At 52.5% G+C, this 21,266-nt stretch overlaps 1 protein-coding gene and 1 non-coding gene across 10 annotated transcripts in view, besides 2 other annotated features; both read right to left on the bottom strand.

The window, feature by feature from the left end:
* The window catches only part of UHRF1 (ubiquitin like with PHD and ring finger domains 1), a 59,075-nt gene that overhangs the window by 23,350 nt on the left and 14,459 nt on the right, over positions 1 to 21,266 (bottom strand). For all 9 annotated transcript variants that reach the window (NM_001290050.2, NM_001048201.3, XM_011527942.2 and 6 more), the window contains 3 exons: positions 9,329 to 9,583; positions 7,929 to 8,089; positions 5,849 to 6,064 (listed from right to left, as the gene is read on the bottom strand). In NM_001290050.2, the coding sequence (NP_001276979.1) occupies positions 5,849 to 6,064; positions 7,929 to 8,089; positions 9,329 to 9,583 (632 nt within the window). The remainder of the gene's footprint in view (positions 1 to 5,848; positions 6,065 to 7,928; positions 8,090 to 9,328; positions 9,584 to 21,266) is intronic.
* MIR4747 (microRNA 4747) lies at positions 6,065 to 6,118 on the bottom strand. Its single transcript, NR_039902.1, has one exon. It is a non-coding gene; the product is annotated as a microRNA 4747 (primary transcript).
* Positions 7,725 to 8,224: an enhancer, noted in NCBI's record as "H3K4me1 hESC enhancer chr19:4930593-4931092 (GRCh37/hg19 assembly coordinates)". NCBI's record gives its function as "activates a minimal SCP1, AML or CMV promoter by ChIP-STARR-seq in naive H9 embryonic stem cells {active_cell/tissue: H9 hESC(naive)}" and the evidence as "EXISTENCE:reporter gene assay evidence [ECO:0000049][PMID:30033119]".
* Positions 14,862 to 15,590: an enhancer, noted in NCBI's record as "H3K4me1 hESC enhancer chr19:4923227-4923955 (GRCh37/hg19 assembly coordinates)". NCBI's record gives its function as "activates a minimal SCP1, AML or CMV promoter by ChIP-STARR-seq in primed H9 embryonic stem cells {active_cell/tissue: H9 hESC(primed)}" and the evidence as "EXISTENCE:reporter gene assay evidence [ECO:0000049][PMID:30033119]".

Here is a 21,266-nt window from a genome sequence, read left to right as displayed (position 1 = left end):
GCCATTGCACTCCAGCCTGGGCAACAGAGCAAGACCTTATCTCAAAAAAAAAAAAAAAAAAAAAAAAAAAAAAACCTGACCAAAACAAAACTCTTATGCCAGGTGCAGTGGCTCATGCCTGTAGTCCCAGCACTTTGAGAGGCCGAGACGAGTGGATCACCTGAGGTCAGGATCGCTTGAAGCCAGGATCTGGGGGTTGCAGTGAGCTGAGATCACGCCACTGCACTCCAGCATGGGTGACAGAGTGAGACCTTGTCTCAAAACAAACAAACAAACAAAAAAAAACTGTCTTATTCTTGCTGTACAAATAAATGAGAAGGGAGGGAAAGGTCTAAGATCCTCAAAAATAAAATTGGTAAAGACTGACAAAAATAAAAAGAAAACATAAATTACCAACACCAAGAATAAAACAGGGATCTCACTAGATCCTTCAGGCATCAGAGAATAAGGAAATAATACAAATGACTTTATGCTCAGAGAAACCGGCTAATTCCCCAAAACCCAGAAAGTATGTCAGCTCAAACATGATGAAACAGATAGTCCAGACAGTCACATAAGCATAGAAGAAATTCAATTCATAAAAGCTCCTCCAGAAGACATCTCCAGATCTCCATGGCCTCAGTAAAGCTTCCCTTCCTCCCCCACCCCACCGAGACGGAATCTTGCTCTGTCATCCAGGCTGGAGTGCAATGGCATGATCATAGCTCACTGCAACCTCCACCTCCCAGGTTCAAACGATTCTCCTGCCTCAGCCTCCCAAGTAGCTGGGGCTGCAGGTGCACACCACCAAGCCCAGCTAATTTTTGTATTTTTAGTAGAGACGGGGATTTCACACCATGTTGACCAGGCTGTTCTCAAACTCCTAACCTCAAGTGATCCGCCCACCTCCGCCTCTCCAAGTGCTGAAATTACAGGCATCGGCCACTGCACCCAGCCTATGGTCTCGTTAAAGAATTCTATCAAACCTTTAAAGAAGAATTAACGTAAATTTTACACAATCTCTTCCAGAAAACAGAAAAAGGAATAAACATTTCCCAGCTCACATTATAAGGCTGGTATTGACCAACCAACAAAGACCATACAAAACAAGAGAATTGCAGACCACTGTTTCTTATTAACTTACTCAAATAAATCCTAAACTGGCCGGGCGAAGTGGCTCACGCCTATAATCCTAACACTTTGGGAGGCCAAGGCGGGCGGATCACCTGAGGTCAGGAGTTCAAGATCAGCCTGGCCAACATGGAGAAACCCCACCTCTACTAAAAATACAAAAATAAGCTGGGTGTGCTGGCATACGCACCTGTAATCCCAGCTACTCCAGAGGCTGAGGCAGGAGAATCGTTTGAATCCAGGAGGCGGAGGTTGCAGTGAGCCAAGATCACATCACCGCACTCCAGCCTGGGAAACAGAGCAAGACTGTGTCTCAAAAAAATAAACAAATCTTAAACAGCAAAAAATCCTGGAAGCAGCTCAGATATCCAATGGGTCGTTAAAAAAAAAAAAAAAAAAAAGTGGCCCATCTATACCACAGAATACTACTCAGGGATGAAAAGGAATGAGCTACTGATATGCGGTAACTTCAATTAATCTGTAATTATGGAGAGTCGGGAAAAAAAGAATCAATCCCAAAAGGTTACATACTGTGTGATTCCATTTATATAACGGGAATCCTTATTACAAAGTTGAAATTGTAAAATCCTTGAAATTACAAAATTGTATGAATGGAGAACAAAAGAGAGCGAGACTCCGTCTCCAACAAAAAAAAAAATTATTGCTTGCCGGGGGTCAGGGACCAGGTGGGGATGGGGAGGTGGGTTTGGCTATAAAAGGGGTAACGAGAAGGATTTTGTGAGGAGGAAACTCACTTTTGACTGTATCAATGTCAATATTCCAGTTGTGATAACACAGTATAGTTTATTAATATAAGTTGTTACCACTGGGGGAAACTGAATAAAGGGTACACAGCCTGTTTTTTTTTCTTTTCACTTTTTTTTTTTTTTTGCAGACTCTCTTGCTGTTGCCTAGGCTGGAGGGCAGTGGTGTGATCACGGCTCACTGCAGCCTCAACCTCCCAGGCTCAAGCGATCCTCCCACCTCAGCCTCCCAAAGTGCTGGGACAACAGGCCTGAGCCACTGCGCCTAGCCATCTCTACATTATAACTGCATGTGAATCTACAATGCAAGGTAAAATTTAATGAAAATGAATGATGAATGAATTGACCCCCCACACTGCAGAGACACCAGTGTAGAGGGCTTGCATTTAGAAGTCAGCCCTGGCAAAGGCTGGTAGCTCCTAGCACTGCCCAGAGCAGGACCTGGGGCTCAGCCACCTATCTGAGCCTCCCAATCCCAGAGTCCACTCGGCCATCTCTGCCACCCATCCTCGCGTGTTGTCTCAGAGCACGCATCTCCCTGGTCTGTCATCTGCAGATCTGTCTCCCACACCAGGCTGGGTGCCTCCTAAGACAGGGACTGCAATCGCGTTTCTCTGTCTCATCTTGTATGATGCCTGACTCAGCAGATGATAGAAGTCGAAGGTGCTAACGATGGGCACACATCACAAACTCATTGCGAGGCACAACTCGGCTCAGCGTGACCCTCTCACTGCATCCCTGGAAGCTCCCATGGGGCTGGCAAGGGACAGTGTCTGCCCCAAGGCCGCCTGGACCGAGCACCTGTTCCCTTTCCCGCTGTGCCTCCTGCATCCCCAGAGGGCTCGGGACACAAGCATGAATGAATCGAAGAACCCAAACACCCCAAGGTGTGGTCGGCCAGGTATCTTCGTTTCCCTGCCTGGTGACACCCCTGCCTTGTGACAGTCAATGTGCAGAAATGCAGTTTTCTTCTGCTAGGGGAGGGACTGAGGTGGAGGAAGCCCGTGGGTGCTGGCTGGGCAGGTTATCTGTCTCAGGGTAAACGGGCAGCAGCTGGTGTATAACTGGTGCGGATGGAGCCTAAGGTGGCCCCACAACCCCCACCTCCTGGCAACCACGCATTTGTAGGCGTTTCTCCCCATAAAAGTATGGACAGGGCTGTCACTTAAACCTAACCCATAAAATACAGCAGAGCTGACGGACTGTCACTCCTGGGACGATGACACATCACACGATGCTCTATATCTTACTAGCCGACTAGCTGAAGACCTCCCTTGCTAGCTTGACATCAGTAGCCACATCAGAGAAGCCCATGGGGCAAGGAACTGCAGGTGGGCCCTGGGAACTGCAGGCGGCCTCCAAGAACCAAGTTAAAAAAAAAAAAATGAAGCCCCCATCCTTCAACCGCAAAGTAGTGGATTATATCAGCCACCACAAGAGCTTGGAAGGGGTTGTATGAGTCTGTTCTCATGTTGCTAATAAAGACATACTAAATAATAAAGACTGGGTAATTTAGAAAGGAAAGAGGTTTAATGGACTCACAGTTCCGCATGGCTGGGGAGGCCTCACAATCATGGTGGAAGGTGAACGAGCACAGGCACATCTTACACAGCGGCAGGCAAGGGAGTGTGTGCAGGGGAACTGCCCTTTATAAAACCAGATAGGCTGGGTGCGGTGGCTCACGCCTGTAATCCCAGCACTTTGAGGGGCTGAGGTGGGTGGATCGCCTGAGGTCAGGAGTTCAAGACCAGCCTGGGCAGCATGGTGAAACTCTGTCTCCACTAAAAATACAAAAATTAGCTGGTGGTGGGCACCTATAGTCCCAGCTACTCAGGAGGGTGAGGCAGGAGGATCCCTTGAACCCGGGAGGTGGAGGTTGCAGTAAGCAGAGATCCTGCCACTGCATTCCAGCCTGGGTGACAGAGCAAGACTCTGTCTCAAAAAAAAAAAGTTAGTCACCAGCATTTAAAAATCAGATTCCATATAACAATCCAGATAGTTTCTCAGAAAATCTCAGATTCAGAAATGCGCCTAGCAGAGAATAAAGACCAATTCCACACCACACCCGAGCCACGCGCTTAAGGCCCAGACTCAGTGAGGAGGCTCCCACAGCCCCAGCCACTCCCCTCCATCACCCGCAGCTCACTGACCTCCCTACCGGGCCACAGATGCACCATAAATGTCCCAGCCCAGGACCTCTGCGTGCTTGCTGTACCTGTACTTGGAACGCCGTTGCCAAGATGCTCGTGTTTATAGACAACACGTCACGTACTATCACTCGGCCACAAAAAGGAGGGAAATTCCGACCAGGCTACAGCCTGATGCACCTCAAGGACATCACACTCAGTGACGTCAGTGAACAGATGCAAAGGACAAATCCTGTGTGATCCCATTCCTAGGAGGTCCCCCGAGTTGTCAGATTCACAGAGATGGAAAGTAGGATGCAGAGGTGTCAGGGGCTAGGGAGTGAGTGTTTCATGGAGTCAGAGTTTCAGTTTGGGAAGAGGACAAAGTGCTGGAGATGGTTGCGTAACAACGTAAATGCGTTTAATGCCACCGAACTGTGCGCTTAAACATGGTTCCAATGGTAAATTTTTGGCCGGGCGCAGTGGCTCATGCCTGTAATCCCAGCACTGTGGGAGGCTGAGGCGGGCGAATCACTTGAGGTCAGGAGTTCGAGACCAGCCTGGCCAACATGGTGAAACCCAGACTCTACTAAATATATATATATATACAAAAATTAGCCAGACGTGGTGGCGGGCGCCTGTAATCCCAACTACTTGGGAGGCTGAGGCAGGAGAATCACCTGAACCTGGAAGGCGGAGGCTGCAGTGAGCCAAGATCATGCCACTATACCCCAGCCTGGGCGACAGAGGGAGACTCTGTCTTTTAAAAAAAAAAAAAAGGTAAATTTTCTGTTACATACATTTTATCACACACACACACACACACACACACGCACACACACACACAAAGAGGCAAGGGAGAAAGAACAGGCTTTGCAAAATGATTCTGCAAATGGCCAAATAGGAAGGATTTTCAGCTTTGTAGGCCGCATAGTCTCTGTTGCAACTACACAACTCTGCTCTTATAACACAAAAGCAACCACAGGTAATAAGATAAAAATGGGTGTGACCACGTCCCAATAAAACTATTAGTCAAAGCCGGCAGCGGACCACAGCAGGCCTGTGGACTGCAGTTTGCCAACTCCTAAGCGGTGTGGTTTGGCGTGTATGTTTATGAACAGAATGTCCCTGGAAAGTTGGTAACAGTGATGTCGCCAAAAAGGGGAACTGGGTGACCAGGCAGAGGAGGGAGAACCTTCATGTGTGGTCTTGGGTGCTTTCTATTTTGACCCTGTGAATGGGACCTATTCACCAAATTTGAAACAAACAAGAGAGAAAAAGAAAGCTTGAGGCCAGGCACGGTGGCTCACTGCCTGCAATCCCAGCACTTTGGGAGGCCGAGGCAGGCAGATCACGAGGTCAGGAGATCGAGACCATCCTGGTTAACGGTGAAACCCCGTCTCTACTAAAAATACAAAAAAATTAGCCAGGTGTGGTGGTAGACGCCTGTAGTCCCAGCTACTCGGGAGGCTGAGGCAGGAGAATGGCATGAACCCAGGAGGCAGAGCTTGCAGTGAACCGAGATCGAACCACTGCACTCCAGCCTGGGCAACAGAGCGATAAAAAAAACACCATGAGAAAAAGGAAGTTTGACAACTCTGCCTGTCAGGGCCTGGGGGTCAGAGACAGTTCCCTGGGCAGAGGCACTCAGGGGCACAAGGTGGTCGGTCTTAGAAAGATGCTCAGCAGTGAGCAGGAACAGACCCCAGAGGGGAGGCAGGAAGGCCAGGCCGGAGGCTAAGGGCCTCGCACACACAGCGCTGGCTGGACGGCTTCAAAGCCAGTCCGGGGGCCCCGGGAGGGGAGGAAAGGAGAGAGGAAGGGCTCGCCCCAGGACGCGAGGCTCACCCCAGCACCACGTTGGCGTAGAGTTCCCGCGCCGTCCTGGTCTCGCGCTTCCTGGAGATCTCCGCGTCGTACCAGAAGCCCCGCTCCTTGGGGTTGTCGGGGTTGTAGTTGAGCATGACCACCTGGCCCACCTCCAGGTCCTGCCACTTGATGATGGTGCGGGCGCGCGCTCGGACGTCCCTGGAGTTCATCTGGACCACGCCGTTCTCCGGGTAGCTGGGAGGAAAGCCCGGGCCTTAGACCCCGTGCTAAGACCAAGCCTCCTTCCCTCAATGGGAAACGAGCCGAGGTGGGACGGCCCCTCCCGACAGTGTGCAGAGGCCCCTCCCAACAGGCTTATATGCTGGTGTTGAGAACACACAGGTATATTAAGGCACATTCCAGGTACAAAATTGTTATGGGTTGCCCGTGTCCCCTGCAAAAAGAGATGTTCAAAGGCTGATCCCCAGTACCCACGAATAGGATTGTTTTTGGAAACAGGGTCTTTGTAGATAGAACCTTTGCAGATGAAATCATATTAAGATGAGATCACACTGCAGTAGGGTGGGCCCCAATCCAACAGGACTGGTGTCTTTAGAACAAGAGGAGAGGCCGGGCAAGGTGGCCCACGCCTGTAATCCCAGCACTTTGGGAGGCCGAAGCGGGAAGATCACCTGAGGTCAGGAGTTCAAGACCAGCCTGACCAACACGGTGAAACCCTGCCTCTACTAAAAATACAAAAATTAGCCAGGCATGGCCGGGCACGGTGGCTCATGCCTGTAATCCCAGCACTTTGGGAGGCTGAGGCAGGCAGATCATCTGAGGTCGGAAGTTGGAGACCAGCCAACATGGAGAAACCCCATCTCTACTAAAAATACAAAATTAGCCAGGCGTGGTGGCGCATGCCTGTAATCCCAGCTACTCGGGAGGCTGAGGCAGAATTGCTTGAACCCGGGAGGCAGAGGTTGCGGTGAGCCGAGATCGCGCCATTGACGCCAGCCTGGGCAACAAGAGTGAAACTCTGTCTCAAAAACAAAACAAAAACAAAAATTAGCTGGGCGCAGTGGTGCACGCCTGTAGTCCCAGCCACTTGGGAGGCTGAGGCAGGAGAATCGTTTGAACCCGGGAGATGGAGGGTGCAATGAGCCAAGATCACACCATTGCACTCCAGCCTGGGGGACAGAGTGAAACTGTCTCAAAAAAATAAAATAAGCTGGGCACAGTGGCTCACACCTGTAATCCCAACACTCTGGGAGGCTGAGGCGGGCGGAACACGAGGTCAGAAGTTTGAGACCAGCCTCACCTACATAGTGAAACCCCATCTCTTCTGAAAATACAAAAATTAGCCAGGCGTGGTGGCCACACACCTGTAATCCCAGCTACTTGGGAGGCTGAGGCAGGAGAATCGCTTGAACCTGGGAGGCGGAGGTTGCAGTGAGCTGAGACCACGCCATTGCACTCTAGCCTGAGTGACAGAGTAAGACTCTGTCTCGAAAAAATAAAATAAAAATAAAATAAAATAAAAATACAAACATTAGCTGGGTGTGGTGGCGGGCACCTGTAGTCCCAGCTACTCAGGAGGCTGAGGCAGGAGAATCGCTTGAATCCAGGAGGCAGAGGTTGCAGTGAGCAAGTCAACCAATGTCCGTGTTTAAGCCACACCGTCTGTGAAATCTCACGATGGCAGCACGGACAGACGCAGCCACCATCTGTGTCCACTGGTGTGTGGACCCCGAACTTGGCAGGTAGGAAGTGCCCAGTAAACACTTGTGCAAAGACTGGAGACTGACGTTAGGGGTGGGGATGAGGGAGAGATGACAAACCCGGAAGATGGAATAAAACAGAAAAACTGATGGGGTGGCAGTTTCAGCCACTGATCGAGCAGAACCCTCCGCGGAGACACAGGAGGGGGCAGCCGGCTTCGGGTCCCCAGGCTAGTCCCCAAGTGGGCAGCCTCGTATGCTGTTAGGAATTCGAGGATGGGGCCCCAGATCCTGATCACCATCTCGAGACAGTGCCAAGCTCTGGCCTGAACACCCGCAGCCAAGGATGCGCGTCACAGAGCCTGAATACCCAGGCCCGCCCACCTGCCATGACTCACTCGTCGTATTTCACGTGGTAAATGACGTCCTCCTCCAGCGCCGGCCTGGACGTGGAGCTGCAGGGCTCGTCCCGGGAGGGGGCCTTCCGCGTCACCCTGACCACCTGCGCCTCAAACCACGCCCCCATGTTCGTGTCCCGAGCATCGACGTACTCATTGACCTGTGAGGAATGAGGGAAGTCTGGCATCCCAACGGGGTGAGGAAAACTGACGGGAGACCACCTTGGTTCTCGGACACTGGGATGCTCTGGAACCAGGGCGCAAACTCGAATGCCCACAGCGAGGTTTCTCCTCCCTGGCTGGGAACCGCTGACCATGAGAAACCAGCCCCGGCAGGGGTGACGGGGATGCGGGGCCAGGGGGCATGGACTGTCTTAACAAAGGCCCCTGCGGCTCTGCTTCAGCCACAGCTGCTGGGAGGCCCTGAGAGACCAGAGCTGCCCATTTGTCAAGAGAAGCTGGAAATCCAGGCAGGGCGTCGTGGCTCACGCCTGGAATACCAGCACTTTGGGAGGCCGAGGCAGGTGGATCGCTTGAGCCCCGGAATTCAAGACTAGCCTGGGCAACATGGTAAGACGCTGTGTCTACTAAAAAATAAAACAGACTGGGTGCAGTGGCTCACACCTATAATTCCAGCACTTTGGGAGGCTGCGGCGGGAAGATCACTTGAGGCCAGGAGTTCAAGACTAGCCTGGCCAACATGGCGAAATCCCGTCTCTACAAAAAATACAAAAATTAGCCAGGTGTGGTGGCACATGCCTGTAATCCCAGCTACTCAGGAGGCTGAGGCACGAGAATTGCTTGAACCCAGGAGTTGGAGGTTGCAATGAGCCGAGATGGCACCACTGTACTCCAGCCTGGGCGACAGAATGAGACCATGTATTAAAAAAGTAATAAAATAAAATAAAATTAGCTGGGCGTGGTGGCACATGCCTATAACATCAGCTACTCAGGAGGCTGAGGTGGGAGGATCACTTGAGCCCAGGAGTTCGAGGCTACAGTGAGCTGTGATCACACGGCTGCACCCCAGGCTGGGCAACAAAGTGAGACCCTGCCAAAAAAAAAATAAAAAAATAAAAAAGCTGGAAACCCAGATCTTTCTGTGACATTTCCTGATCTTACATGGTAGCAGCAAGTTCAGAAACGTCACAGCCACTGCAAGCTTCACGGAGAAGACACCTGCAGGCCCCGAACAGGACTCTGCTCTAGAGGTCCACAAAGGAATCCCAGGGTACCATGTTCCCCTCAAGGAACGTGCAGGAAACCACCCCTTGGCCATTTCTGCCCAGCCAGAGCTAGAGAGGCGCGTGGGAAGCCCCTCCTGTGAGCCCTGGGTATGCAAAGACCAGAATGGCAGGGAGAACGTCCAACCCCAGAGCAGCTGCGGAGGGGAGGCTCACCTTGTACAGCCCCAATTCCGTCTCATCCCACATGTCCTCATCGGCTGGCCTGCTGTCAGTCTCGGCGGCCGCCTCACCGTGGGTGGAGGACTTGTCTGACTCACTCTGGCCCAGGCAGCAGCCGGAGTCGGTGTCGGAGAGCTCGGAGTCCCGCTCCTTGGTGCTGTGGGGGAGCACGAGGCTCTGGCGGACCAGGAGCTGGATGGTGTCATTCAGGCGGACCTCGTAGTCGAAGAGGGTATGGCCGTCCTCCATCTGCAGGGACACCAGAGGCAGACGCTGTTTAGCCACCAAATGCCAAGTGGGCATCTGTGGGCACCAGTGATGAACCAAACACTGTGTCCCAGCCCTTGTGGGGGGGGGGCAATCTGCATCAGAGTAAAGAGCCATGATACCTGGGCCATGCCAGGGGGCTGTCCCGCTCACAAGCGGCACCCCAGTCCCTTCCCTCAGGGTCTCAGGCCCCTCTAGCGAGGGCTTTTGGCACTGCATGCAGGAAGCACCCAGAAGCACAAAACATCATCACGGGGCACCACGCACACATGGGGGTCTTGGGAGTTTTTCCTAATACTTCGTGCTTACGGCAGCTTTTGTGACAGTGAACATGTGTCACCTCTGTCACTGCTTCTCAACCAAACATGATTCAGACCCCGGGGGACGCTGGGCCACGTCTGGGACATTTGTGGTTGTCGCCACTGGGAGAAGCTCCTAGCATGGAGTGGGTGGAGGCCAGGAACGCTGCTCGGCACCCTGCAGTGCCCAGGACGGTCCCACTGTCCAGTGTCGAGACAGAGAGACCCTGTCCCACCTGAACAGCAAGAGGCACATGCCAGCATCCATGAGCTTCCTATGAGCTTCCTGGGTAAGGCTCCAGCGCCAATCTCGCCTGCCAGGGCACCTCCTCTGACCCTCAGCTCCACCCGCCCTTTGTGCGCTTTTATCCTGATGCGCTCAACCCCTGGGGCCTGGCTCCACAGCCTGCCCCTCGGGTCACCTGACTCAGCAGGTATGCAAGGAGGAGCTCATCACCTGAGCTGTATCTGGGGGCTGGAGAAGCCGAGGCATTTTGTCAGAAGCTGCCCCTTCACACTCCACCAACACCCAACAAGGACCCTCTCCCGGTGGTTTGCCATCTAGGACCCCCCCCTCCTGATGATTTGCCATCTAGATGCCCCCAAGGCAACAAGTTCCTCTCCCCCGGCACTGCAGACATTGGGGCCAGGTCCTGGACCATTCTCTGGGGCGGAGCCATCCTGGGCACTGCAGGGTGCTGAGCAGCGTCCCTGGCCTCCACCTACTCCATGCCAGGAGCACCCCGTAGTTGTGACGACCACAAATGTCCCCAGACATCATACGGTATGGGGTGGGGGGGTGTGAAGTCACCCTGGGTGAGACCCCCTGGTGAAGGATTCCACAGGCCCCCAAGAAACTCCTTATCCCATGATGCTGTGCCCTACTGAGGTCCCAGGAGGCTGCACGCATTAAAATCCACACACTGAGTGGGAAGGGAGAGAGGAGGTGAATCCCAGGAGCTGGGGGTCCCCCTGGTTTCCACGTCTGCCCCGTCAGGAGTTTATCCCGTGCCTGGTGCGAGCAGGATTGGACTCGGTTGGTTTCCATGTAATTAATACAGGTTTCTCGACCTAAGCATGGCTGACATTAGGGCTGACCACTCTGGGATGGGCTGGGTCTCCCCCTCTGGGCACTGGACCGTGGGGCCGTGCTGGGCACTGCAGAGGCACTGCAGCGGCCCTGGCCTCCACCAGTCATGACAACAACCGATGTCCCCCAGACATCACCATGTGTCCCCTAGAGGCAGAAATGCCCTGGTTCAGGAGCATCCTTAGGAAAAGGGAGGAGAGAGACCTTAGGAAAAGGGAGGAGAGAGACATACATAGAATGTCAGCTCTTCCTCCTTTCGCCCCTTGGGGATCCAAGGCCTGACGGCTGTTCAAATGCAAACAGCATGGGGGTCACAGTGAAGGCCAAGGCCCTTCTCTGCAGGCTTTCTTTCTTTGTTCACCATAAACCTAAGAACCTGATAAAGGCTGACTCATCTTTTCCAGAAAAAAATTTTTTTTTTTTTTTTTTTTTTTGAGATGGAGTCTCACTCTGTCGCCCAGGGTGGAGTGTAGGGGTGTGATCTCAGCTCACTGCAATCTCCACCTCCCAGGTTCAAGCGATTCTTGTGCCTCAGCCTCCTGAGTAGCTTGGGACTATAGGCATGAGCCATCACACCCAGCTAATTTTTGTATTTTTAGTAGAGACAGGGTCTCGCCATGTTGGCCAGGCTGGTTTTGAACTCCTACGCTGAAGGGATCCACCCACCTCGGCCTCCCAAAGAGCTGGGATTACAGCATGAACCACAGTACCCGGCCTGTTTTTTTTTGTTTTGTTTTGTTTTGTTTTTTGTTTTGAGGCGGAATCTTGCTCTGTCGCCCAGGCTGGAGTGCAGTGGCACGATCTTGGCTCACTGCAAGCTCCGCCTCCCAGGTTCGCCATTCTCCTGCCTCAGCCTCCCAAGTAGCGGGGATTACAGGCACCCGCCACCAAGCCCGGCTAATTTTTGTATTTTTAGTAGAGGTGGGGTTTCACCATGTTAGCCAGAATGGTCTCGATCTCCTGACCTCGTGATCCGCCCACCTCAACCTTCCAAAGTGCCGGGATTACAGGCGTGAGCCACTGCACCCGGACTTTTTTTTTTTTTTCCTTTAGAAAGGATCTCACTCTGTTGCCAAGGATGGAGGGCAGTGGTGCAATCGTAGCTCACTGCAGCATCGAACCTTGGGCTCAAGTAATCCTCCTGCCTCAGGCTCCTGAGTGGCTGGGACCACAGGCACACATCACCCATGCCCAGCTAATTTTTTTTAGAGATGAGGTCTTGCTGCTTTGCCCAAGCTGGTTTTGAACTCCGGGGCTCAAGCAAGCGATCCACCAGCATCAGAAAAACCCGTTTGAATATGTACACACCCACCTACAGCTACAAGGGTTTCAAGGGCTGCTCTGAAACCCACCGTGGACATCGAGGGCCCACCAATATCCGCTTCAGCCCCTCTGTTCTCCCAGCTAGAAGTGAGTGCCTCTGACATGCTAGGCGCTGCCTGGGAGCCAGGAGGAGGCTCAGGGCCAGCTCTCCAGCACAGAGCAGCTGGCTTTGGGGAGAGGTGGCACGGATGGAGAGGAAGAGGCACGTCAACCTGTACACGCAGGTTCACACGGCATCACTCGCAACAGCCTGAGAGTGGAAGCAACCCAGGTGTCCATCAACAGGTGAGGGGATTGAGGCTGGGTGCGGTGGCTCACGCCTGTAATCCCAGCACTTTGGGAGGCCGAGGCAGGCAGATCACGAGGTCAGGAGTTCAAGACCAGCCTGGCCAACATGGTGAAACCTGTCTCTACTAAAAATACAAAATTAGCCGGGCATAGTGGCAGGTGCCTGTAATCCCAGCTACTCGGGAGGCTGAGGAAGGACAATTGCTTGAACCTGGGAGGTAGAAGTTGCAGTGAGCCGAGATTGCACCACTGCACTCCAGCCTGGGCAAAAAGAGCAAAACTCCGTCTCAAAAAGAAAGAAAAAAAGAAAGAAAGAAAAGAAAAAACAGGTGAGAGGATCAACACAATGTGGCCATCCATCCATGTGTCAAAATATGACTCAGGCCGCGTGCGGTGGCTCACGCCTGTCATCCCAGCACTTTGGGAGGCCAACGAGGGCAGATCACCTGAAGTCAGGAGTTTGAGACCACCCTGGTCAACATGGTGAAACCCCGTCTCTACTAAAGATACAAAACTTAACTGGGCGTGGTGGCGGGTGCCTGTAATCCTAGCTACTCCAGAGGCTGAGGCAGGAGAATTGCTTGAACCTGGGAGACGGAGGTTGCAGTAAGCAGAGATTGTGCCATTGCACTCCAGCCTGGGCAACAGAGCAAGACTGTCTTAAGAAATAAAATAAAATAAATAAAATATAAGGCAAAATAAAATACGACTCAGCCATGAAAAGGAGCAAGGCTGTGACCCAGGCCACAGTGTGGATGCACCTTGAGGACATCACACTCAGTGAGAAACACCAGACACAAAAGGCCACGCAGTGCATGATCCCATTTCTATGAAATTTCCAGGACAGGCCAAGCCACAGAGGCAGGAAGGGGATTTGAGGGTGCCAGGGGCTGCGGGAGGAGATGCAGAAAAAGGAAGCAGTAGCTGGGACAGGGTTCAGGGTTTCCTTTCAAGGTGACAAAATGTTCTAAAATAGACTGCAGTGATGATTACACAACTATGAATATACCTCAACTGTGTACTTTAACTGGGTGAACTGCAGGGATATAATAAAGCCGTTATTTAAAACATGAAGCAGGCCAGGCACAGTGGCTCACGCCCGTCATCTCAACACTCTGGGAGGCCAAGGCAGGTGGATCACTTGAAGTCAGGAGTTCGAGACCAGCCTGGCCAACATGGTGAAACCTCGTCTCTACTAAAAATACAAAAATTAGCCAGGCGTGGTGGCACGCGCCTGTAGTCCCAGCTACTCAGGAGGCTGAAGCAGGAGAATCGCTTGAACCTGGGAGGCAGAGGTTACAGTGAGCCGAGATCACGCCACTACATTCCAGCCTGGGCGACAAGTGAGACACTGTCTCAAAAAAAAAAAAAAAAAAACTTAACACCAAGGGCAAGCCTTGGTGTATGTAGACTGTGGACTCAGAGATGAAGATGACTCCACAGAGGGCCATCGGGCCATCAACTGTAACCGATGCACCGCTCTGTGGGGGAGGCTGACAGTGGGGGCGGCTATGCCTGTTGGGGCAGGGGGTCTATAGGAACTCCGTACCTTCTGCTCAATTTTGCTGTGAACCTAGAACTGCTCTAGAAAATAAAGTTTATTAATTTTTTCTAAAAAAGGGGCTGGGCACAGTGGCTTACTCTGTAATCCCAGCATTTTGGGAGGCCGAGGTGGGCAGATCACTTGAGGCCAGGAGTTCGAGACCAGCCTGGGCAACATTGCCAAACCCCGTCTCCACTAAAAATACAAAAATTGGCCGGGTGCGGTGGCTCACGCCTATAATCCCAGCACTTTGGGAGGCCGAGGCGGGTGGATCATGAAGTCAGGAGATCAAGACCATCCTGGCTAACACGGCGAAACCCCATCTCTACTAAAAATACAAAAAATTAGCCAGGCGTGGTGGCGGGCACCTGTAGTCCCAGCTACTCGGGAGGCTGAGGCAGGAGAATGGCATGAACCCGGGGGGCGGAGCTTGCCGTGAGCCGAGATCACGCCACTGCACTGCAGCCTGGGCGACAGAGCGAGACTCCGTCTCAAAAAAATAAAAAAATTAAAAATTAATTAAAAAATTAGCCAGGCATGGTGGTTAGTGCCTGTAATCCCAAATACTCAAGAGGCTAAGGCAACAGAATCATTTGAACCTGGGAGGTGGAGGTTGCAGTGAGCCAGGATCTCGCCACTGCACTCCAGCGTGGGTGACAGAATGAGACTCCGTCTTAAAAAGAGAGAAGTCAAGTGCCCCCAATATCACTGGGTCAGGAAAAGCAGCATGGGACAAGCCACACGGCGCTCAGAGGGATGGATGGGGCACTCATCTGCATCCGGGCCAGCACCTCTGTGGCCAGGCACACTGCTCTTGCCAAAGCTGACATTTGGGGTCTGATCACTCTCTGGGGTGGGGCCTTCCTGGGCCCTGCAGGGTGCTAATCAGCACTCCAGGCCTCCACCTACTCCACGCCAGGAGCGCCCGAGTCATGAATGTCCCCAGACATCCCCCAGTGTCCCCTGGAGGGTGGAATCACCCGCAGTGAGCACCCAAGCTAGAGCGGCCCTCACATGTGTCCGAAGGCCACGTGCGCAGAGGGGCAGCTGCTCCTCCTATGTTTGCAGCAGCGATATCTGCCAGAGCGGCGTGAGCATCCTGAGCTCCAGCCAGCGGGAGAGGGGCACACAGGCCGCGCTCATGGCTCAGCTGCATGGGGCAGCCAGGGGCAGCCAAGCAGAGGGGCCTCAGCGCACGAGGGAAACCAGACCACTGCAGAGGATGGAAAATACAGTCCCAGCCCCACCCAAGACGGAGGACAGGTCGGAGGTGCAGCCCTGGGCGAGGGGCTGCCTGGAGAGCAGGCAGCCAGCAGGGTGGCTGGGGGCCAGACAGGCCAAGAACCAAGTGACCTCGACAGCAGGAGGCGGCAGGAGGAGCAGACGGAGCCAGGAGGGGGCCAGACGGTCGGACTCTGTCCTGCCAGACTCAGACAGAGGACAAGTCGGGGAGGAGACAGACCGAGGAGGGGAAGCCAAGGCGGCAGAGTTAAGCAGGGAGGCAGGGCCAATGAGAACTGGTGGCGGGTAGGCAGGGGGGCAAGGGCTGTGGTCTGGGCGGCCAGGAGGGATCCAATGAGGGGCCCTGGCCAGGCTAATGGGCAGCCCCTGACCCGCAGGAGCAGCTTGGGGAGCCAGGCCTGCAGTCCCAGCCCATCCCCTCTCATCTGTTACTAGGGACAACATCTGTGCCACCCTTGCTGGGCCTGACGGGTCGCCCCTCCATGACTTCGGCCCTTCCCACATCGGAAAGGTGAGGTGGATAGAAGCACCCTGCTTAGCGTGGGCTACGTAGGAGGGACAGGAAGTGTCTCCCAGTACAATGATGTAGACAGGGGCAAATGGGGCGGGAAGTGGGGATGGGGCCTGGCCCAGGCTGGCACAAAACTCTGACTCCAGAACACAACTCACGAGCTGGCTGGGCAGCCTCCTGATGCCGCTTCTGGAACATTGCAGAAAGGCCCCAAAGCAGGCAGGAGGAAGCTTGCACAACCCGAAGCGCGAAGGAGGAAGCTTAGTTATTGTTAAGTTCTGACCCCACAGGTGAGAGAAAACATGGTCAGTAAGGCAGTAATTGTTCTAAATTTGTAAAGGGTCAGGCACGGTGGTGCACGCCTGTAATCCCAGCACTTGGGGAGGCCGAGGGCGGATGGATCACCTGAGGTCAGGAGTTCGAGACCAGCCTGGCCAACATGGCAAAACCCCATCTCTACTGAAAACACAAAAAATTACCCGGGCGTGGTGGTGGGCGCCTGTAGTCCCAGCTACTGGGGAGGCTGTGGCACAAGAATTGCTTGAACCCAGGAGGCAGAGTTTGCAGTGAGCCGAGATCACACCACTGCACTCCAGTCCGGGCAACAGAGCAAGACTCCATCTCAAAAACAAATAAATAAATGAAAACATAAAAAACAAAAGCCCAGGTCCGGTGGCTCACACCTGTAATCCCAGCACTTTGGGAGGCCGAGGCAGGCAGATCACTTGAGATCAGGAGTTCGAGACCAGCCTGGCCAACATGGTGAGACTCCATCTCTACTAAAAATACAAAAATTAGCTGGGTGTGGTGGCGCACGCCTGTAATTCCAGCTACTCAGGAGGCTAAGGCAGGAGAATAGCTTGAACCTGGGAGGCAGTGAGCCGAAATCTCACCATTGCACTCCAGCCTAGGCGACAGAGCGAGACTGTCTCAAATAAATAAACAAAATAAGTAAATACAAATAAAAATAAAAATCGAGTTTTTAAGACTTGCCTTGTATGTGGTCAGTTTCCCTAAGCACTCCTCGTGGCCTGAGAAGAATGTGTTTTCTCTCTTGCTGGGTTCAGATTCCATCCATGTCATTACGGTAACCCTGTTACTTGTGTTGTTCAAATCATCTACATCTTTATCAATTTTCTTTTTCTTCTTAAAACAGGGTCTCCCTCCCTGTTGCCCAGGCTGGAGGGCAGTGGCACGACCATGGCTCACTGCAACCTCGACCTCCTGGGCTCAAGCAACCCTCCCGCCTCGGCCCCTCCAAGTAACTGGGACTACAGGCATGGGCCATCACGTCCAGAAAGTTTTTTGTATTTTTTGTACAGACAGGGTTTCTCCATGTTGCCCATGCTGGTCTCAAATTCCTGGGCTCAACTGATCCTTCTGACTCAGCCTCCCAAAGTGCTGGGATTACAGGACCCAGCCACTGTGCCCAGCATCCTGACCAACTTTCCTTTTTCGTTTGTTTTTTGAAACGGAGTTTCACTCTTGTTGCCCAGGCTGGAGTGCAGTGGTGTAATCTCGGCTCACTGCAACCTCCGCCTCCCAGGTTCAAGCAATTCTCCTGCCTCAGCCTCCCGAGTAGCTGCGATGACAGACATGCGCCACCATACCTGGCTAATTTTGTATTTTTAGTAGAGATGGGGTTTCTCCATGTTGGTCAGGCTGGTCTCGAAATCCCCACCTCAGTTGATCCACCCGCCTTGGCCTCCCGAAGTGCTGGAATTATAGGGCTGAGCCACCGTGCCCGGCATCCTGGCCGATTTTCTTTCTTTTTTTTTCTTTTTTGAGACGGAGTCTCCCTCTGTCACCAGGCTGGAGTGCAGTGGCACGATCTTGACTCACTGTGACCTCCGCCTCCTGGGTTCAAGCGATTCTCCTGCCTCAGCCTCCCGAGTAGCTGGGACTGCAGGTGCATGCCACCACGCCCAGCTAATGTTTGTATTTTTAGTAGAGACAGGGTTTCACCATGTTGGCCAGGATGGTTTCGATCTCTTGACCTCGTGATCCACCCGCCTTGGCCTCCCAAAGTGCTGGGATTACAGGTGTGAGCCACCGCGCGTGGCCCTCCTGACCGATTTTCTATCTGTGTGATCCATGAGCCACTGGGGAAGATGCACTGAAATTCCTGTACCTATGATGTCTGTGTTATAGTTATGGCATCTGTAACTCACTTCAAAATGATCCAGTAGGAGCCAGTACAGTGGCTCACATCTGTAGTCCCAGCTGCTTGGCAGACTGAGGCTGGAGGGTCAGGGGAGCCCAGGAGTTTGGGGTTCTCATGCAAAATGATCACATCTGTGAATAGCCACTGTGCTCCACCCTGATCAACACAGCAAGATCCCATCTCTTAAACAATCCAGTCAGGTAGAGGTAAGTGGGTAGGGTAGAAATGAGCAAAATGAACAAGATCAGACACAGCAGATGACTACTGCAGAGGGTGATGGCTACGTGGGACTTACTTTTTTTTTTCTTTTTTTTGAGACGGAGTCTCACTGTCACCCAGGCTGAACTGCAGTGGCGCAATCTCAGCTCACTGCAACCTCCGTCTCCCGGGTTCAAGCGATTCTCCTGCCTCAGCCTCCCGAATGGCTGAGAGTACAGGCACATGCCAGCATACCCAGCTAATCTTTGTATCTTTGGTAGAGACGAGGTTTCACCATGTTGGCCAGGCTGATCTCTAACTCCCGACCTCAGGTGATCTGCCTGCCTCAGCCTCCCGAAGTGCTGAAATTACAAGCATGAGCCGCTGCGCCCAGCCTCTTTTTATTCTTCATTAATAATTTAAATGATTGGCCGGGTGCGATGGCTCATGCCCGTAATCCCAGCACCTTGGGAGGCCAAGGCGGACGGATCAGCTGAGGTCAGGAGTTCGAGACCAGCCTGACCAACATGGAGAAACTCCGTCTCTACTAAAAATACAAAATTAGCCAGGCGTGGTGGTGGGTGCCTGTAATCCCAGCTACTCGGGAGGCTGAGGCAGGAGAATCGCTTGAACCCGGGAGGCGGAGGGTGCAGTGAGTTGAGATCACGCCACTGCACTCCAGCTTGGGCAACAAGAGCAAAACTCTGTCTCAAAAAAAAAAATATTAACAATAATAATAATTTAAATGAAAGAAGATTTACCATTATGGAAATTTGTAAAGTCTCCTATCATTGAACCTAGTGAAGTTGAATGTCCCTATTAAATGACACCACCTCAGCCCTAACTCAAGGTCTCCTACTGTGCCTGGTAAAAGGAGTGACTTAATCTAAAACCCACTTGCCGTTTTTGGCAAAAGGAAAATCATTATCAGAAAAGATAAAATGGGCTAGGCGCGGTGGCTCACACCTGTAATCCCAGCACTTTGGGAGGCGGAGGCGGGTGGATCATGAGGTCAGGAGATCGAAACCATCCTGGCTAACACAGTGAAACTCCATCTCTACTAAAAATACAAAAAATTAGCTGGGCGAGGTGGCGGGCACCTGTAGTCCCAGCTACTCGGGAGGCTGAGGCAGGAGAATGGCATGAACCCAGGAGGTGGAGCTTGCAGTGAGCCAAGACCACGCCACTGCACTCTAGCCTGGGTGACAGAGCGAGACTCTGCCTCAGAAAAAAAAAAAAGTTAAAATGGGGCTGTGTGCAGTGGCTCATGCCTGTAATCTCAGGTATGATTTGGGAGGCCAAGACGGGAGGATCACTTGAGTCCAGGAGTTGAAGATCACCTGGGCAACATGGCAAAACCCATCACTATAAAATTTACCTCTAGTCCCAACTACCTGGAAGGCTGTGGTGGGAGGATTGCTTGAGCCCAAGAGGCAGGGGTTGCAGTGAGTCGAGATCGCGCCGCTGCACTCCAGCCTGGGAGACACTGATACACTGTCTCAAAAAAAAAAAAAAAAAAAATGAGGTCAGGAGCAGTGGCTCAGGTCTATAATCCCAGCACCTTGGGAAGCTGAGGCAGAAGGATCATTTGAGGCTAGGAGTTCAAGACCAGCCTGGGTAACATGGCAGGAACCCATCTCTATAAAAATGTTTAAAATCAGCCAGGTATAGTAGTATACAGCCTATAGTCCCTGCTACTTGCGAGGCTGAGGCAGGAGGATCACTTGAGCTCAGGAATTCGAGGCTGCAGTGAGCTAAGATCGTGCCACTGTACTCCAGCCTGGGCAACAGAGCAAGAGCCTGTCTAAAAAAAAAAAAAAAAAAAAAAAACCAGCTGGGCACAGTAGCTCACGCCTGTAATCCCAGCACTTTGGGAGGCTGAGGCCGGCAGATAACTGGAGGTCAGGAGTTAGAGACCAGCCTGACCAATATGGAGAAACCTCGTCTCTACTAAAAATACAAAATTAGCCGGGCATGGTGGTGCATGCCTGTAGTCCCAGCTACTCGGGAGGCTGACGCAGAATTGCTTGAACCCGGGAGGTGGAGGTTGCGGTGAGCTGACATCAAGCCAACGCACTCCAGCCTGGCGACAGAGCAAGACTCTGTCTCAAAAAAAAAAAAACAGGCCAGGCACAGTGACTCATACTTGTAATCCCAGCATTTTGGGAGGCCAAGGTGGGTGGATCACCTGAGGTCAGGAGTTTGAGACCAACCTGGCCAACGTGGTGAAACCCCGTCTCTACTAAAAATACAAAAAAATTAGCCGGACGTGGTGGTGTGCACCTGTAACCCCAGCTACTTGGGAGGCTGAGGCAGGAGAATCACTTGAACCTGGGAGGTGGAGGTTGCAGTGAGCCAAGATCACGCCACTGCACTCCAGCTTGGGCAACAGAGTGAGACTCCATCTCAAAAACAAAACAAAACAAACAAAAAAAAACCCATAGCAAACGCACACATGTTCAAGCACTTCTGGAAGCAGACAGGTTACTACAGGGGGGAAACTGAAGGTCAAGGCAGAGTGGAAGATATTCTCCTTGCTTTTTGGACATTTGGAATTTTGTAACATGGGCATTGTATAAAAGCTAGGCCAGGCCCAATAGCTCATGCTTGTAGTCCCAACTACTCAGAAGGCCGAGGCAGGAGGATCACTTGAGCCCAGGAGTTTGATACCAGGCAAGACCCTGTCTCTGCAAAAAAGTTTTTTCAATTAATAAAAATTTAAATATTGGGTGTGGTGGCAGGCACCTGTAGTCCCAGCTACTCAGGAGGCTGAAGTAGGAGGATTGCTTGAGCCTGGAAAACAGAGGTTGCAGTAAGCCATGATCACGCCGCTGCACTCCAGCCTGGACGACAGCAAGACCTTGTCTCTTTTTTTTTTTTTTTTTTTTTTTTTGAGACGGAGTCTCGCTCTGTTGCCAAGCTGGAGTGCAGTGGCGTGATCTCGGCTCACTGCAACCTCCACCTCCTGGGTTCCAGCAATTCTCCTGCGTCAGCCTCCCAAGTAGCT

The sequence above is a fragment of the Homo sapiens genome, chromosome 19, assembly GCF_000001405.40.
Source record: "Homo sapiens chromosome 19, GRCh38.p14 Primary Assembly".
Taxonomy (NCBI): Eukaryota; Metazoa; Chordata; class Mammalia; order Primates; family Hominidae; genus Homo; species Homo sapiens.
The sequence above is the reverse complement of the archived record's forward strand: the minus strand, read 5'-3'. Positions and strand labels throughout refer to the sequence as shown.